Here is a 17,719-nt window from a genome sequence, read left to right as displayed (position 1 = left end):
TAAATTACACATGTGTGTATGCATATGTATATATGAAGTAAATGATGGCAATAATACAAGGAATATTAGGGAAGAATTAGGAGTATTTTGATATTACAAGGTATTTGAACTACCCATGAAGCAATATAGTATAATTTAAACATGGACTTGGAATAGCTATAAATATATATATTCCAAACTCCATAGCAACCACTAAAAAAAGTAAGAAGTATGACAGATATACTAAGAAGGGAGAGAAAGTTGAATTATATAAAATGCTCAGTTAAAACCATAAAGGCAGAAACAGGGTGGAAGACAACAGTAGGAACAAAGAACAAGAATAATACATAGAAAACAAGAAAAAATGGTAGATATTAATCCAGTTACATCAATAATTACTTTAAATGTTAATGGTTTAAATATGCTTATTAAAAGAGTTTGCCAAAGTGATCAAAGCCAAAATACGTACTGTCTACAAGAAACTCTCTTTAAATATAAACATGTATAAAGACTAAATTAAATGGATAGAGAAAGATATACCATGCTAACACTAATCAAGAGAGATGAAGTAGCTATATTATTTTCAGACAGAGCAAACTTCAGAGCAACAAAAACTATCAGGGATAAAAGAGGGGCTTAGAACAATAAAGGAGTTGATTAGTCAAGAATATATCACAATCCTTAATATTTATGTGCCTAACAACAAAGCATCAAAATACACAAGATGAGAACTGACAGAACTGTGAGGAAATATAGATAAATCTACTATTATAATTAGAGATCTCAATATCATCATTATCATTTCACTTCAGAAGCAAGACCAAATTTCAAGTTTAATTTTGACTCCTCAGATATTCTCATGATGTAACATTATGCAGACATGATTTTTATATATAAAAATCACTATTTTATTTTTTAGAAGTAAAATGTGCAGTGAAATGCACAGATACTAAGTGTATAATATTATGAGTTTTGGTAAATGTATGTATCAATATAAAATATTTCCATCACCATAGAAAGTTTCCTTATGCTAATATCAAGTCAATCCCTCACTCCCCACCTGTTCTGATTTCTATCACTATAGATTATTTTGGCCTGTTCTTAAATTTCTTATGATTAAATTAATATAGGATATAATAATCTGTGTCTAGTTTCCTTTGTGAACAAACATATTTATGAGTGTCTTAGTTAGCTAAAGGTGACAAAATAAAATACTGTAGATTGCCATAGATTGGGTGGCTTAAATGGAGAAACTTATTTTCTCACAGTTCTGGAGGCTGGAAGTTTCAAAATCAAGGTGCCAAAATGGTCAGTTTTTAATGAGGACTCTCTCCTTGGGTTATTGATGGCTGCCTTCTAACTGTGTCCTCACATCCTTTTATCTGTGTCCTCACTCCTTTTATCTCTATGTGTGCATGAAGAGAATTTCTCTCTGTTGCTCTTCTTTTAAAGGCTAACAACTCTATCAGATTAGGACCCCACTCTTATAACCTTATTTAACCTTAATTACCTCCTAAAAGCCCTGTCTCCAAATACAATCCCATTGGGGTTAGGGCATCAACATGAATTGTGGGAGGACAAAATTTAGTCAATAGCAATAGGATTCATCCATATTGTTACACGTATCAGTATGTAATTGATTTTTATTGTTAAACAGTATTCTATTGTATGAATATACAACAATTTGTTTACATATTCTCCTGATGATTGACATTTGTATTGTGTTCTGTTTGGGTTATTTTGAATAAAATTGTTTTCTTATGCAAATATTTTTGTGAACATATATTTTATCACCTTTTGGGAAAATATCTAGGAATGACTATGTCATAGAGCAAGTAGATATTAAACTTTATGAGACACTGCTAAACACATCATACAAAGTGATTGTAAAATTTTGCATTCCCATTAGCAATGTTTGAGAATTCCAGCTGCTCCACGTACTTAGCAACATTTAGTGTTGAGAATCTTTCATTTTACCAATTCTAGCTGGTAGGAAGTGGCATCTCAATGTTGTTTTAATTTTTATTTCCCTGATGGTTAATTATGTTAAACATTCTTCAAGTGCTTATTTCCCATTTGTTTATCTCTTTTGAGAAGTGCCTATTACATTTCCTTGCCTATTTTAATTAGGTTGTCTTTTTAAAAAACTGATTTGCAGGAGTTCTGTATATATTTTAGATACACATTTGTCAGATTTTAATATGTTGTATATATTTTATCTAAATCAGTGAGTGGAATGCATTTACAATTTTTCTTTTTATTTTTTGAGAAGCAATCTGTCATTTAATGAAGTTTAATTTATCCATTTTTTCTTTCATCTTTAGTGATTTTTGTTATTTCTAAACAATTTTTGCCAGGCCAATGTTTTGAATATATTATACATTTTCTCTGGAAGTTTCATAGTCTCTGCTTTTATGTTTGGGCTATAATTCATCTCAAAGTAATGTTTGTTGTGGCGTAGAGGGTCAAAGTTCATTCTCTTTCTTTACATTTATTCAATTGTTCCAGCACCAATGGTTGAAAATATTTTCCTTTCTGTATCAAATTGCCTTGGTGGCTTTGTTAAAAACTAATTGACCACATATGTGTGGATCTATTTCTGGACTGTAATCCATTCCACTAATCTGTTATTCTAGCCTTATGTCAATACCACATTGTCTTGATTATTATAGCCTTAGGGTAAGTCTTGCAATCAGATCCTATAATTCCACTGATGACATTGTTCTTTCTTCAGATGATTTTGGCCATTCAAGGTCATTATTTCCATATAAACTTTAGAATTTGAATGTCAACTTTCTAAGCCTATTAGAAATTCATTTGAGACTGTACTGTGTCATAGAGATTTAACAATATTTTTAAGTGTATATACTTATGTGTATAAGGGGTATTCATCTGTAATTTTCTTTTTTCTTTTTAATGTCTTTGCCAGGTTTTGGTATCAGCTATGGTGGTTTTCAAACAATCCGAGAAGTGTTCCCTCTGTTCTATTTTCTGAAAGAATTTGTTACATTTGGCATTATTTCTTCTCTAAATATGTGATTGAATTTACCAATGAAATCATGTGAACTGGAAGTCTTCTTTTTGGGAAGCATTTTGCTTACAAATTTAACTTCTTTAACCTACATGGGACTATTTAGACATACTTTTCTTCTTGTTTTACATCTGCTGTGATGTGTTTTGTCAGAATATTTTTCCTTATATCTAAGTTGGCAAATTTGCTGGCATACATTTGTTTGTAATAGTCTTTTGTTATCCTTTGTGTCTGTAAGATCTGTAGTAAAATCAGTTCCCGTCTTTCATTTCCAATACTGGTAATTTGTGGTTCTCTACTTTTTTCTTTGCCAGTACTACTAAGAATTATTCAGTGTTGGCATTGCTAATATTCTGTATGTTCACATATTTTGATTTCATTGATTCATTTCATCTGTATTTTTCATTTTTTCTACTTATTTGGATACAATTTGAATTTATTTTCTAGCTTTTTAAGATAGGAACTTATATCAATAATTTTAAAACTTTCTTGTTTAAAGCTCTGGGTTTCTCATTAACCACTGTTTTGGCTATATCTCCAGAGATTTTATGTGTTGTATTTTTATCATTTAGTTTGAATTATTTTCTAAGTTTTCTTTTTATTTTTCTTTGACCCATTTGTTATTAAAACTGTCTGATTTCCAAATATTTTGAAATTTTCTTAAATGTCCATGATGGATTTCTAATTTAATCATGTTGTTATAAAAGTACAGAAAGTTGACCCTGTATATGGACTATTTCTATAAACATTTCATCTGCACTTGAAAATAATTTGTATTCTGTAGCTGTTTGGCATATTGTACTATAAATTTCAATCTACTGTAAATGTTGATACTGTTATTCCAATCTTCTATATCTCTACTGATTTTTCTCTACTTTTCTATGAATTATTTAGAGAAATATGTTTAAATATCCATCTATGATATCCCATTTGTCTCTTTTTTTTTAGTTTTGTCAGTTTTTACTTTATGTATTTTGAAACTGTTTTAAATGCATATACATTTAGAATTGTTTTGTCTTCCTATTGAATATACTTTTTATCATTAAGCTATAACTCTCTTTTGCCTACTTTTTGCATATAATTCTTTTGCTAACTTTATACTTTGAACCTCTCTGGCCTTCAGAGTGTGAATCTTATAGTGAGCTTACAAGTTTTGCTCGTTTATCCAGTCTGACAACCTCTGCCTTTTAATTGGTGTGTGTAATTCATTTATACTTAATGTAATTATTAATGTGTTCAGGTTTAAGTTTACCATTCTGCTATTTTCTATTTGCCCCAACTGCTTTGTGTGCATTAGTTCCTCCTTAGTCAAATATATTTTAGTATTCTATGTGATGTTTTATATTAGCTTTTTAGGGAAAACTCTTTGTACTTTTTTTAACATTTTTAAGTGACTGCTCTTGGAATTAAAGAAATGCATTCCCAATTTATTATGTTCTACTTACAAAAAATATTATATCACCTCTTATAATAATGTAGAAGCTTTAGCACTGTAATTTCATTTACTATCATTCTTTGTGCTGTTTTATCACATAATTTTAATGCTGTGTTTATTATAAACTCTATACTACATTGTTTGTATTTTTGCTTTAAGCAGTCAATTGTCTTTGAAAATTAATGAAAAGTAAGATAGTCTTACATATTCACCATTTCAGCTAATCTTCATTCTTTTCTATAGATCTGATTTTCCCTCTGGTATCATTTCCTTCTAGCCTGAGGGATGCTTTAACAGTTCTTATAATGCAGGTCTGCTGATAACATGTTCTCTCAGCTTTTGCTTAACTATCTTTATTTTGCCATCATTTTGAACAATATTTTTACTGGATGTAAAATTTTGGAAGGCATTTTTTTGAGCACTTCAAAGCTATTATCCCATTGTGTTTTGGCCGTAGTTATTCCTGATAAAGTATCAGCTGATATTTCATCATTGTTCCACCACTGTACTATCTTTTTTTTCTCTGAATGCTATTGAGTTTTTCTATCTATAACTGAATTTTAGCAGTTTGACTATAATATGTATATTAGTCTGTTTTCATGCTGCTAATAAAGACACACCTGTGACTAGGTAATTTATAAAAAGAAAAAAAGAAGTTTAATGACTCACAGTGTCACCTGGCTTGGGAGGCCTCACAATCATGGAGGAAGGCAAAATACATGTCTTACATGGTGGCACACAAGACAGAATGAGAGCCAAGTGAAAGGGGAAACCCCTTATAAAATAATCAGCTCTCATGAGACTTATTCACTACCACGGGAACAGTATGGGGAAAACCGCCCCCAGGATTCAATTATCTCCCACTGGGTCCCTCCCACAACAGATGGGAATTATGGGAGCTACAATTCAAGTTGAGATTTGGTTGGGGACACAGCCAAACCATATCAATATGGCTAGGTGTATTTTTCTGATCCTGTTTTATCCAGAACTTCTTATGGATTCATGCTCGTAACCAAATTTGGGGATAAAATGGACATTATTTCTTAAAATGTTTTTTTCCATTATTTTTCTTTCATTATCTGCATAATTCTGATAAAATTTCTTATTATTTTGTATGTTGCACTGACCAATGAAGCTTGTTTTATTTTTTCTTTAATCTTTGCTTTTCAATTTGAATTATTTCTGTTGACGTATCTTCAAATTTGCTGATTTTTTTTCCGAATTATTTGATAAGCTATCAATCTTACAAAATGGTTTTTAAAATTTTGGATACTAAACTTTTCAATTCTAGACTCTTCTTTGGTTCTGTTTCTAGTTTCAATTTCTCTGCTGAGATTTTCCATCTATTTACTCCTTATGTTCTTTTCCATTAAATGCATACAATATGTACAATAATTCCTTTTTACAAGTCTTTGTTAGCTAATTACAACAGTTGCATATATTGAGGTCTGTTTCTATTGTTTACTTTCTGTTGATTCTTTTTAAGGATGCTGGCTTATGTGGTCTTCTCTAAAGGATGTTGAGTTTTGAGTTTTGTTCTGTCAGGAATTAAATTATGGACAGATCAACTTCACCTTTGTACTCATGGGTTTAGTTGGGTCTATTTAAACGCTTTCCTCATTCTTAGGCATGGCTGTCAATTCAGTGTGTGTCCCTAATATTTGACTTTTCCAAGGTTTCCTTTGAGTGACCAAGAAATTCAGGGAGATTTATTCTTTCTTGCTGGGTAAAAGCTCTACGATGTGTCCCAGCTCAGTTTGGTTTCTGTTTCTCTATTCACTTCTCAGACACAATAAGCATTCTCTCAGGTCTTGAGTGGTCCTGCTCTTGTAAGAGCATCCCAGTATTGAGCTACGAACCCAAGAGGAGCACCCCTGTAGACTATGTCCATACCCTCTTCTCAGCTTTCTTCTTTTGGTGTTCAACAAACACCAGTCACCTCAGCAATCCCAAATGCCAGTCTCTTGCTCCTTAGGTCTGTGGGATCACCACTCTTCATTCTACACCTGAGTTCCACTTTCAAACAAGTTGGCCAGGGGAGTGTCACCATGAGGAAAGCCGGGGTGAAACACAGAGCTCACCTTGTTTATTTCCCTACTCTCAAGAACCAAACACCTGTGCTGCCTTTTGTTCAGAGTCTAAAGAGTCAAGTTCAGATATTTTGTCCAGTTTTATAACTGTTCAATGTGGAGGGTTACAGCCAGTTATTACCAGTTATTCTGTTATGACTGGAAACAGAGCCCCTATATTAAATTCAAAAACTTTATCAGAAGAAAACTACATATATACTCATGTAAATATAAAATATTAATATGAATTTGGATTTTAATGTTTACGTGTTGCATAGTTAGTGTTTAATTGCAGGTTTTGGAATCTGACTCCTGAGTACCAACTATGTAATCTGGGTAAATTTTGTTTATCAAGAATCTGTGTCCTTTTCTGTGGTGAGAATAATATTGCCTGATCCACTGTATGTTTGTGATTGTTAAGTAATATACAGAAATCATTTAGCACAGTACATTGTATATTGTAAATGTACATAAATGTTAATGTTATTCTACACGCACTATATGCAAAAGCATCTAGAAAGCACATCACTAAAACATCAACAGTAATTATTCCAAGGTAATATTTATTTATTCATTTTGACTTCTGTATTTCTGTGCTTTCTACATTAAATATCTTTTCATAATCAAAATTAATATTATTTAAAAGGAAATTTGAATCTCAGATGATTTCACATTAAAAGGCCCTGAAATTAGCCTATATTGAATTACAAATGCCAATAGTTTTTTCAGAAAGCATCATTCTTTGTTCAAATGTCTAAACTTTTTTGCTTATTAGGAAGGTATTAAACCATGAAAGCATATTAATAATATGCATATTTGAATATCGAAGTGGCAGAAAGAACTAAGAATATTAAGATCCTGAAACAATTTTAAGATCAGTAATGACCATATATGGCTTTTCTCACTTGGTTTTCTTTGTTTATGGAAAAATTACTTAAACTGCTGCTTACTAGAGAAAGCAATAATACAACTTGGAAAATAAAGAATAAGTTTTTAAATATGTATAGTATGATGGTATTACTCTTTATGATTAGAGAGTATGTTTTAAACAAAATGGCATTTTCTAAAGGAACAATCAGGTTTGCTACTTGGCAGAAAAAGAAATAGCTCCATGAGCAAATAATCTAAACCTTATTGTAAAAGAAATGCTTTTGTGATTTTGGTGGGTTTTTAAAAAACGTATGTTCTTGGATAAGCAGAGACTGATTATAAAAATAAATAAATAAAATGTATGTTTTCAAGACTTTCTATCTCTCAGTTGAAAGCTTTATGTTGGAAAATAACTCCACTCACATTCTCAATTTTCCTTATCAAAATAGAGTTGCACAGAACTTGCTTGGCCCTTTTGTGTTTAGACTATATATATGAATAAAGATATCTTTCCTATCTTAAACTACTTTCTATAAAAGATGCCCTTAACTCAGCCACCAAGATGTAGAACTCAGATGGTATCAAAATATTACCAATGCTAACTGTGAAAGTTTCAGATCATAAATGCGAAAAAGTCCGTAAAGAAAAGATAAGCAAATCAGATGTAACCTGGGAGAAAAAAAGAAAAGAAAGGAAAAGTTTTGTCCCTTTTCCCTGACATCTCTTGATATATTTCTTATATTATTAGATGTGGATTCTCTGTATTGTGAGAAGATAAGAGAATGCATTGTAATACAAAGGTAGTGTATAGCCTGTATAAGCTTTGGAAAATGTTTATTTCTTTGAGGCAGGCTTGGAATTCTGCACATTCCATTCCCACTGTAAGTTGGAATTCATGGGGGCCAATCAAGTTGTACGTTTCTACAAGCCCAATACCATCTTTTCCATGCTACAGGAAAACCCCAGAGTGTCTATGACTATAAATCAGGGAGACAAGTAACCTTGTATTAGGTTGGTGCAAAAGTAATTGCCATTAAAAGTAGTGGCAAAACTGCAATTTCTTTTGCACCCACCTAATAACAAAAACAAATGCATATACATATAATAGAAAACCAGATATATCATTTTACCTTTTGATACTTTTTAAATAAAAAGCTTGAATATTTCAAATTGTTTAAAATAATTGGTTCAGTCAAACTACATGAAAAATTTGAACATGATAATGTTCTTTTATAATGAGTGTACTGTCTTTAAATAAGTGAATAGGCCAAGATTCATTCTAACACATTAGGGAAAATTCAAGTTCTATGCCATGATCTTTTCAGAAAGTTGTCTGTGATCTTTAAAAGAAGGGAAGAAATTAGAAGTAAGACTTAACTATCAAGAAGATGGTACTTGTTGAAATAATTTCTAACTATGTGGAGCATTTCTAACTGAGATATTTAGGATAAGACTAAGCATTTAAACCCCTAAGGCCAAACTTCTATGGTCTTACTTTATAACATGCACGAAACTTACATGCTAAAGACAGGAGAGGCGTTGGTATTAAAATGATATGAATTATAGTAACAAGTCTTTTCTCTATCTCTAATTCTTCTTTTTTTTTTCTTTCTGAGACAAAATCTCACTCTATTGCCCAGGCTGGAGTGCAGCGGTGCCATCATAGCTCACCACAGCCTCAACCTCCTGGGCTCAAGTGATCCTCTCCCCTCAGCTTCCCAAGTAGCTGGGACTACAGACGTACACCACCACACCTAAGTAATTTTTTTTAAATTTTTAATAAATATGAAGTCTCTCTATGCTGCCCAGGCTGGTCTTGAACTCCTGAACTCAAGCAATCATCCCACCTATGCCTCCTAAAGTGTTAGGATTACAGGTGTGAGCCAGCATGCCTGGAACTAGCTCTAATTCTTTATCAGATATACTGAGTACCTTCCATGCATGATTTTACTTCATCCTCACGAAACCCTAAGATATGAGTATTGTTATTAATTCCATTTTTCTGATAATGGACTGATACTTGAAGGAAAAAAGTTACTTTCCCTAAATCATATAATTAGGGTCGGTGGCGAAGCTTCAAACAAGGGCTATCTGAACACAAAGGTCACGCTATTATTACTTCTAATATTATGCTATTTTCTCTTCCATATAATTAATTTCCTGCAATAAATTTAAACTTTGTTTTACCATATTAATAATACTCTATTTTAAATTCTTTCTTTCTTTTTTTTTTGTTTGAGACGCAGTCTCGCTCTGTCGCCCAGGCTGGAGTGCAGTGGCGTGATCTTGGCTCACTGCAACCTCCGCCTCCTGGGTTCAAGCAATTCTCCTGCTTCAGCTTCCCGAGTAGCTGGGATTACAGGCATGCACCACCACGCCTGGCTAATTTTTTTGCGTTTATGGTGGAGACAGGGTTTCACCATACTAGCCAGGCTCGTCTCAAACTCTGACCTTGTGATCTGCCTGCCTTGGCCTCCCAAAGTGCTGGGATTACTGGAGTGAGCCACCGCACCTGGCCTCTATTTTAAACTCTTTAAATACAGAGTCCTCTCAAAATGTCTGTAATCAAAAAGTAACTATGACAGCATATGAGAGCACTTAAGAAGTGAAAAAGCGCTAGTCCAACAAATCCTCTTTTGACAATTCTTGAAAAAGTTTTAAAGAAATTAAAACTATATATGAAATTTTTTCTGTCATTAAGTGCCAGAGATAAAAAATAAATACATAAAATTGTATATGAAATTTTAAGTTCATACTAGATATAAGAAATACATCATTTATTAAAATAAGACCTTCAACTGTCTTTTGCAGACATAAACCAAAAAATTGAAAAGTAAAATAAAATCACTAGATTTTGATTTACCTTAATTAGAACACTTATATTTTTTCCATTTTGTTCTTTAGTGCTCCTCTATTTAATAGTTTCAGAGCAATTTAAAAAAATATTTAATATTGTTATGATTATTTTCTCTCTGAAATTGTTGAACATAAGACATTTTTAAAAGAAAAATCATAAGATTTTCATTTCAAAAATAATTCACACATAGGACTAGTTTACCATTTGGGATTTTGAAAATGTGTTTATAATATTCTTTTTAAAAATACTTGAATAAAACCTCATAAAAGCTGCCATTTTTTCAGATGTTGAAAATAATTGACAAGTTTTGTGCCCACTCTTCCGTTAACATGTATTTAGTATTAAACTTCAATAATTTTTTTTTTTTTTAGACGGAGTTTCACTCTGTTGCCCAGGGTGGAGTGCAATGGCATAATCTCGGCTCACTGCAACCTCTGCCTCCCAGGTTCTAGTGATTCTCCTGCCTCAGTGTCCCGAGTAGCTGGGATTACGGGCATGTGCCACCATGCCTGGCTAATTTTTTGTATTTTTAGTAGAGATGGGATTTTTGCCATGTTGGCCAGGCTGGTCTCGAACTCCTGACCTCAGGTGATCCACCTGCCTCGGCCTCCCAAAGTGCTGGGATTACAGGCGTGAGCCACCGTGCTTGGCCAACTACAATAATTTTAAGGTTTCTATTTAGAGATATTTTAATAAGTTGTTGGGAATATTGTGATATATGAAAATTTAAATGGATTCCTATAGTTATACATTTGATTTTTAATAAGTTCATCAAGAGTTTTAATGCTTCTTTAATATCTGTTGGTTTTGATGTTAAAATGCAACCAAGTGCTGAATTAATTACACTTCTTTGCACATTTTCAACCACGAATAAAACTACAATAAAGTTATGATTTTGCACTGCTTTCAAATGACTTTTAAATAGAGTACAAAATTTAAACTCAGTCAAGTTAGATGAAAATTACTACTATGGCTAAACAAATGATCTTGAAATATAGCATCACCATTTTATAAAGCATTTGAAGTGGGCAAGTTTATTTCAAAAGCAACAATACCTTAATAATATGTAACACTGCTTTTCAATTTAGTTTAGGTTTGTTTACACAGTGAATTAATGTGAAACCATCAAATTGTGCTGCTTCAAACATTTTCATATTTATAAATATAATTCAAGAAATTTTTAAGAACAGATTTTCAACACTTTTATAATTTTATTTACATAAGCATGTAAACATATAGTACAAATTTCTAATTTCTCTATATCTCCTTGTCTTTCCACCTTATTCCTACCCTAAGCCCAACTTTTGCTACTAGAGATACATATGTAGGCAGAAAACATTTTTCTTTTCCTCCTAGGAATTATACATTTACACAGAGGAAAATGAAAGACAGTAGAATAATTTTCTATACATCCTTAACCAAATCATCTATCCTTGCTTTAATATCCAAGTTAAAAATGAAAAATTTAGTGCTTTGTGTTGGTATAGCCAACATTTTGGCTTGCAAAAACATATAGCTTTACCTCTTATCTTTTCAAGCCTTTAATTTTATTGTGTTGTGGGAAACATACATTTTTGCTGTTTTTAGGCAACTTCCCAAAGCTAAAGAAAGCTTTTTTTTTCCTTTGTCTGTAGCATACAAAATGTATCTGGGTTCAAGGATATAAATTTATCTAGAAGAAAAGTTTTGTATAGAAATTCTATTGTCTTTTGTCAAATATTCCTGTTAGCCATGACAAAAAGAAAAAAAAAAAGCACTTTAGAGAAATATCTCATTTTTTTTTTATCCTCTCAACATCCCTGTTGAGTAGGAAGGTCATATGTAGTCACCAGCACTTTACAATTAATTACGTGTACCTGAGGGGACAATATTAGCAAGAGGTAGCATGAGGTCTAGACCTGGGTCATTAGAGTATAAGCTGGTGCTTTGGCCATATACCACTAACACCACCACATATGCCAATCACACTGTGTCTCATGCCTTTACAAGGTACTCAGTGAAAAGCTATAACATAAACAAGAAAAAATATATTATTCTATGTTATTGGTATGTGTCAAAAAACGTGGAACTTATTCAAAGTGATAAATAGGTTTTAAACAACTCTTTTCACAAATATATTGGAAATGGCTGTGTCTTATAAAGAAATTTTCCAATAGGTGTATAATTGAGATAAAAGGCATTTGTCAATAATTTGTTTATGGGTTTAGATTTCATTTTCAAACTATTGACGTTTATTCTACTATGTTGATTTATTTTTACCACTGGAAATTTTTTACAAGAAAATAAAGCAATATTTCTTACTAAACACCATAAAAGTAAATCACATAGGATGATGTATATATTTTGGTGGCATGCAGATTTGTATTTATTTAAAGGATAATCTCTACGATTTGCAAATGTTTTGATATTTTGCTGAAAAAAACAAAAGTGAAGAATGAAGGGTATGAAAAACAAAACAATTCTAAACACAAAACAAGTAAATCTAGAAGGTAATAAAAGGGACTGAGATACATTTAGCAAAAGCAAAGAAAGAATCCTAAATAAAGCTTTTTAACATGATAATATGATGAAAATGAATCATAAAGAAACCATTTTCTCAAGTCTATGCTAGAATTACTTTATAATTTATGTGATTTTTTCTACTCTAAGCAGTTCATTTTTCAAGTGCTCCTATAAAATATATCAGGAAGGAGGACATAAGAAAGTGATACAAACTGCATTAGCCAAAGCAAGACTTGATCTCTTTAAAAAAAAAAAGAAAATAAAAAGAAAGTCCTTAGATTTCTTATGAATAATCTTTTTTATGAAGAACATTCATTTTAAGGTGATAACTTTTCTGTTATCCTGATTACTTCCAATGAGCAATATTCTAAAGATCAAAAGAAACAAAGAGATAAAAAGAGTTTCTATGTATAGTCCCTTGTGTTTTAGATTATTTTACATACTTTATTAAAATATAGGTACATGGATAGGTAGGTAGATTTTTCTTTAAACATTTAGTGCTCCCTCTCTCTCCTTTTTAAAGAAATTTTACATCATTCAGTGACAGCATTCATTTCTCATTAGGCAAAATGCTTGTTCTTATTTTGCCAATGTGGGCACATTCTTCTTTAAGAAGCCTCCAATTTAAAAAACAGAACAAAGAGTGAATATTTACTTTATAAAAGTTGATCAGAATATAAGAAAGAAAGTGTCAAATGATCACCTTAATGTATTAACTCCTTCTAGTAAATTGTTTTTATTTTACAAAATTTGGTAACATATTGAGGTAATAGAAACTCAATGACTATATTCAGCAAAGAATCCCAGTATAATTACACTTGTTCTTGATTATTCATTTTAAAACAGATAAAATGTACTTGCAATCACCTTGTCGCAATGTAATTTTACTTTTGATTTTGGATTTTATATAATTATAGGCTAAGACCAAAAAGTATAAAACATAATTAATATTGTTTTCCTTTTTAGCATCTTTGGAATTTGATTTTTATATACTTGCCTCATCATCAATTCTGAGAAAGCATAATACATTTTTTATAAACTTTTACAAATTGTATGGGATAGTAATACCCATATTAGAATGTATAAGAAAAGTAGTTATATCTTTCAAATAATACTGATATTTTTAAATGAATATCAATCATAAAGAGAATAATCAAAAACGTGACTGAAACTCGCCTTTCAACAAGAATAAGATTAAAATGCATCTAATGTAAGAAAAATGGGCACATGTTTCCAAGGTGAAATATCTTTTAAACTAACGAAGTTCCTCAAATGTTCTCTGATAATTAATGTAGTAAAATATACAGGGATTTTTATAGATCTTTTCTTTTTCTTCTTTTTTTTTTTTTTTTTTTTTTTTTGAGATAGGGTCTCCCTCTGTCACCCAGGCTGGACTACAGTGGCATGACCACAGCTCACTGCAGACTCGACCTTCCAGACTCAGTCCAGTAGCTGGGACTATAGGTGCATGCAACCACACTTGACTAATATAAGTATTTTTTGTAGAGACGAGGTTTCGTCATGTTTCCCAGGCTGGTCTCAAATTCCTGGGCTCAAGCAATCCACCCACCTCAGCCTCCCAAAGTGCTGGTATTACAGGCTTAAGCCACTATGCCCAGCAATAAATCTCTCATTCTACCATTGTAACTTGTCATTCCATTTTTGAAAATCATTTATTTTATTAATTTTAAAAAATATGTGAAGATTTTCTATAACCTTTTTTTCATAGTGGTCATTAATTGCCAGAACGATTACTAAAATATTTGTACTAAAATATTTGAAAATATCTTATATTTGAGCATGAGATGACTTGGCAGATACTTTACTCAGTATCTTCTATAATTACAGCACCAATTTCAGAGGTGCTTAAAATGATTATATCTTAAAAATTCACAAGTTTGGCTGTTTTATTATCTGACAAGTGTTAATTCCATATTAAGTTACTTTTGCAATGTGAATTTATAAGGAGCATTTAAAGCAATCTTACAGAAAATATTTGATCTACTTAAAAATTACAGGTGTTGTACTATAATATTTTCATATGCCTAAAACATTTAGAAAAGAAATCCACAAATATATAATTAAACAACTGTGAATAATTAAATATTAATCAGTATATATTAACAATGCTAGTTTCCTTAATAAACAAAACAAGAGTCAATAGTTATTACTAACTTCTACTAGTTCAACTAAAAGGATTTTTTCCCTTCAAATCAACCAATTTTATTGAAGAATAATCCTTTTTTATATTAATGTCAACTAACAATTATACCTTTCACTTATTTATCACTTCACAAGGTTTACAGAGTGCTTTCCATGCATAATAAATATTTTTCAGCCAGTTATATCTTGGTATAGATAACAAAGACAAGTTAAACATTTACAAACACATAAGCTATAGCACACACATCTACAAAATGTAGATTCAAAAAGATTTTAAATACCAGATGTCTCTATTGCATCTTACAATGATTCTATATAAACTCTATAAAATTAGATTTCACATAAATTTCCAAGAACTTAGCATTTATATTTTTCTGAAATAGACACAATCACATACATTTTGCTGGAATCCATTTCAAAAACAAGAAATTGAATATGGCATTATTTTAAGATAAAGTCCAGTGGACTTGTAACATTCCAAGCTATAAGAGGATAATCTCATGACCTAGAGACCAACATTATTACACTGCTTGCCACCTGTGCTGAGATATGTGGAATTACATGAAGAAAGTCCAAACCTTCAACTATCTCTTATTATTAAACTTGCTCAGACCACAGGCTAAAATGTCTAAAAAAAGAATTAATGAGGACTAGTTATTAATTGCTCATCATTAGATAGTCTCCAAGACTCAATCCTCGGTCTTCAGCTTGGGAGACTAGAACCTTCAGTCAGGGCAGCTGAGATCTAGGGAGTACCAGCATGGAGTGGACAACTGCATCTCCTGAAAGAAACCCTGGATCTCAGTTGCCCCTTCCCTGTTACTGTCCAAAGCAGAGGAACCATTTACAGGTATAGTTATGGAGCACAATCGCAAAACAGCCCATACCTACGTGAGCAAACCTACAATGACCACACCCCACCTGCTGAGCTTACATCTATTTGCTTTTCAGGACTAGCCAGAGTAATCGGCTTCTCTAGGAAACATTCCTGGGTCACTGTCCCTTACCTCTGCTTTAGGTGTTACCCCTATACACAACTGTGTGCTTCATCCAATTAGCGCAGTTAGCACAGGTAGTGACGTATTGTATCTTGAACATTACAATGTAAAATTCCTTCAAACACAGATCACAATGATTTTATTTTTATGTTCCCAGACCCCAGCCAAGTGCTTAGCATAGAGTAAGTGCTCAGTAAATGTTTGTTGAATGAAGCTACCACTGCCACATAGGGCACGTCTGCCATGTTAATGATTTGGAGGTGAGGAAAAGACCCAATTGGAAGGGACCAACAGCATGTAATGAAAACGCCATGATACAATCTCCTTAATGTTAGCATGAATGCAGTTTTTACAGCATCAGAAAACATCTTTCAAACCTGTCACCATTGACCAAATAACACCTTTGTAGGCCTATGCAAAAATGATAAGCAATATATCATTTTTTATAATGATAGTATTTTACTGCCATAAACACTTAAAACCAAGGAATCTCATTTTTAACAAAAACTTCAGAAAATGGCCTATATTTTTCTGAGATTCCATATTCTATATGTAAAACGTGTTTAAGGCTTTCAAATAATTATATTATTTATTCTCTTTCTAAATAAAATACAACAGCATATTGTTATAAAGTATTTGAAAATCATACTCTTTATTTGTAGCAGAATAATTGATACCACTGACTTCAAAACTCATTGTTTTATATGTGGATCACTCTGAAATAACATTTCATTTTCTTTCTTCAGAAAAATGATGTTCCAAAGAGAAGTTCAGTTTAAAAATTTATATGAAGAGATTTCTGATGAAGCAAAAACATACATATACTACATTAAAAAATATAAAAAGATATCCTACATATACAAGATTAATAAGGTTTCATGAAAGTAACAGGCCTGAAGAAACTTTGAAATCTCTGCAAACTTTCCCGTCATTTACGGAAAACATAAAACCTGAATTTACTATCTGCCCCTTTCAACTTTATTCTATTTTTCTAAAGCATCCTCAAAATAAAAGGTAGACATTTTGGAGTGAGGGCTGAAATATGTACTTTGGGTATATTTTATAGACAATAGATGTAAACAAGGCAATTATTATCAGAGAATAAAGCAGACAGACTTGAATTTTGATCACAGTTGCACACAGAATAACGCTTCATTACGTAGTCAGAAGGTAAAGTGCAGCATACACAAAGCACAAAATACAGTCTAATAAATATTCATATGCTTAGGGTATTTCAATTTAGTTCTTACATGCAACTTTATGTGAGTCTAATGTAAATAAAATATGTACTAAATGGTTTCTTTTCCCTAAGACAAGGCTATTCAAAACTTTTAAAATCTCTTAATCACCACACGTTTTTTTTACAATGTCAAAGAAGAAAATGAGAAATTATTAATTTTTAAAATTACCCAGCAATTCCATTGCATCATCTTCATTATCAATATCTTCTTCTGTTACAGATGGGGTAGGGCTGTGGATGGACTCAAAAGAATCTTGAGAGAGCATTGCGGCCAGGAGTTTCTTATGTTGCTGTTGCTGCTGTTTTAATCCTTTGTTCTTAGGCTCCATCTTTAAGCTGAAGAAATATTTAAATGTTAATTAGCTGTGATAAGTAAAGAAAATCTACAAATAAATTTCCATTTGGTTATTTTATTACACACGTATGTGGACATGTTACTAAAGTTTTCCCCAAGGATAATGGAAATATCATCTTTCTTGGACACCCATCCGTACCTCACTAAGGAATTCCCAAGTGAGTATGGGGAAACTGAAATTTGGCTCACTTAAGAGGGAAGGTGCTAATTTACTCCTACC

At 31.8% G+C, this 17,719-nt stretch overlaps 1 protein-coding gene across 13 annotated transcripts in view; it reads right to left on the bottom strand.

The window, feature by feature from the left end:
• The window catches only part of C8orf34 (chromosome 8 open reading frame 34), a 488,651-nt gene that overhangs the window by 268,561 nt on the left and 202,371 nt on the right, over positions 1 to 17,719 (bottom strand). For 11 of the 13 annotated variants that reach the window (NR_146186.1, NR_146187.1, XM_047421328.1 and 8 more), the window contains one exon: positions 17,314 to 17,480. Coding sequence is in view for 11 of the 13 variants with exons in the window: in XM_047421328.1 (XP_047277284.1) it covers positions 17,314 to 17,480 (167 nt within the window). In the remaining 2 variants the exon portion in view is untranslated. Of the gene's footprint in view, positions 1 to 11,254; positions 17,481 to 17,719 lie in introns of those variants that run through there. The other 2 variants (NM_001195639.2, NM_001349480.1) reach the window with 1 other exon arrangement.

This window comes from Homo sapiens, chromosome 8, assembly GCF_000001405.40.
Source record: "Homo sapiens chromosome 8, GRCh38.p14 Primary Assembly".
Lineage (NCBI taxonomy): Eukaryota > Metazoa > Chordata > Mammalia > Primates > Hominidae > Homo > Homo sapiens.
The sequence above is the reverse complement of the archived record's forward strand: the minus strand, read 5'-3'. Positions and strand labels throughout refer to the sequence as shown.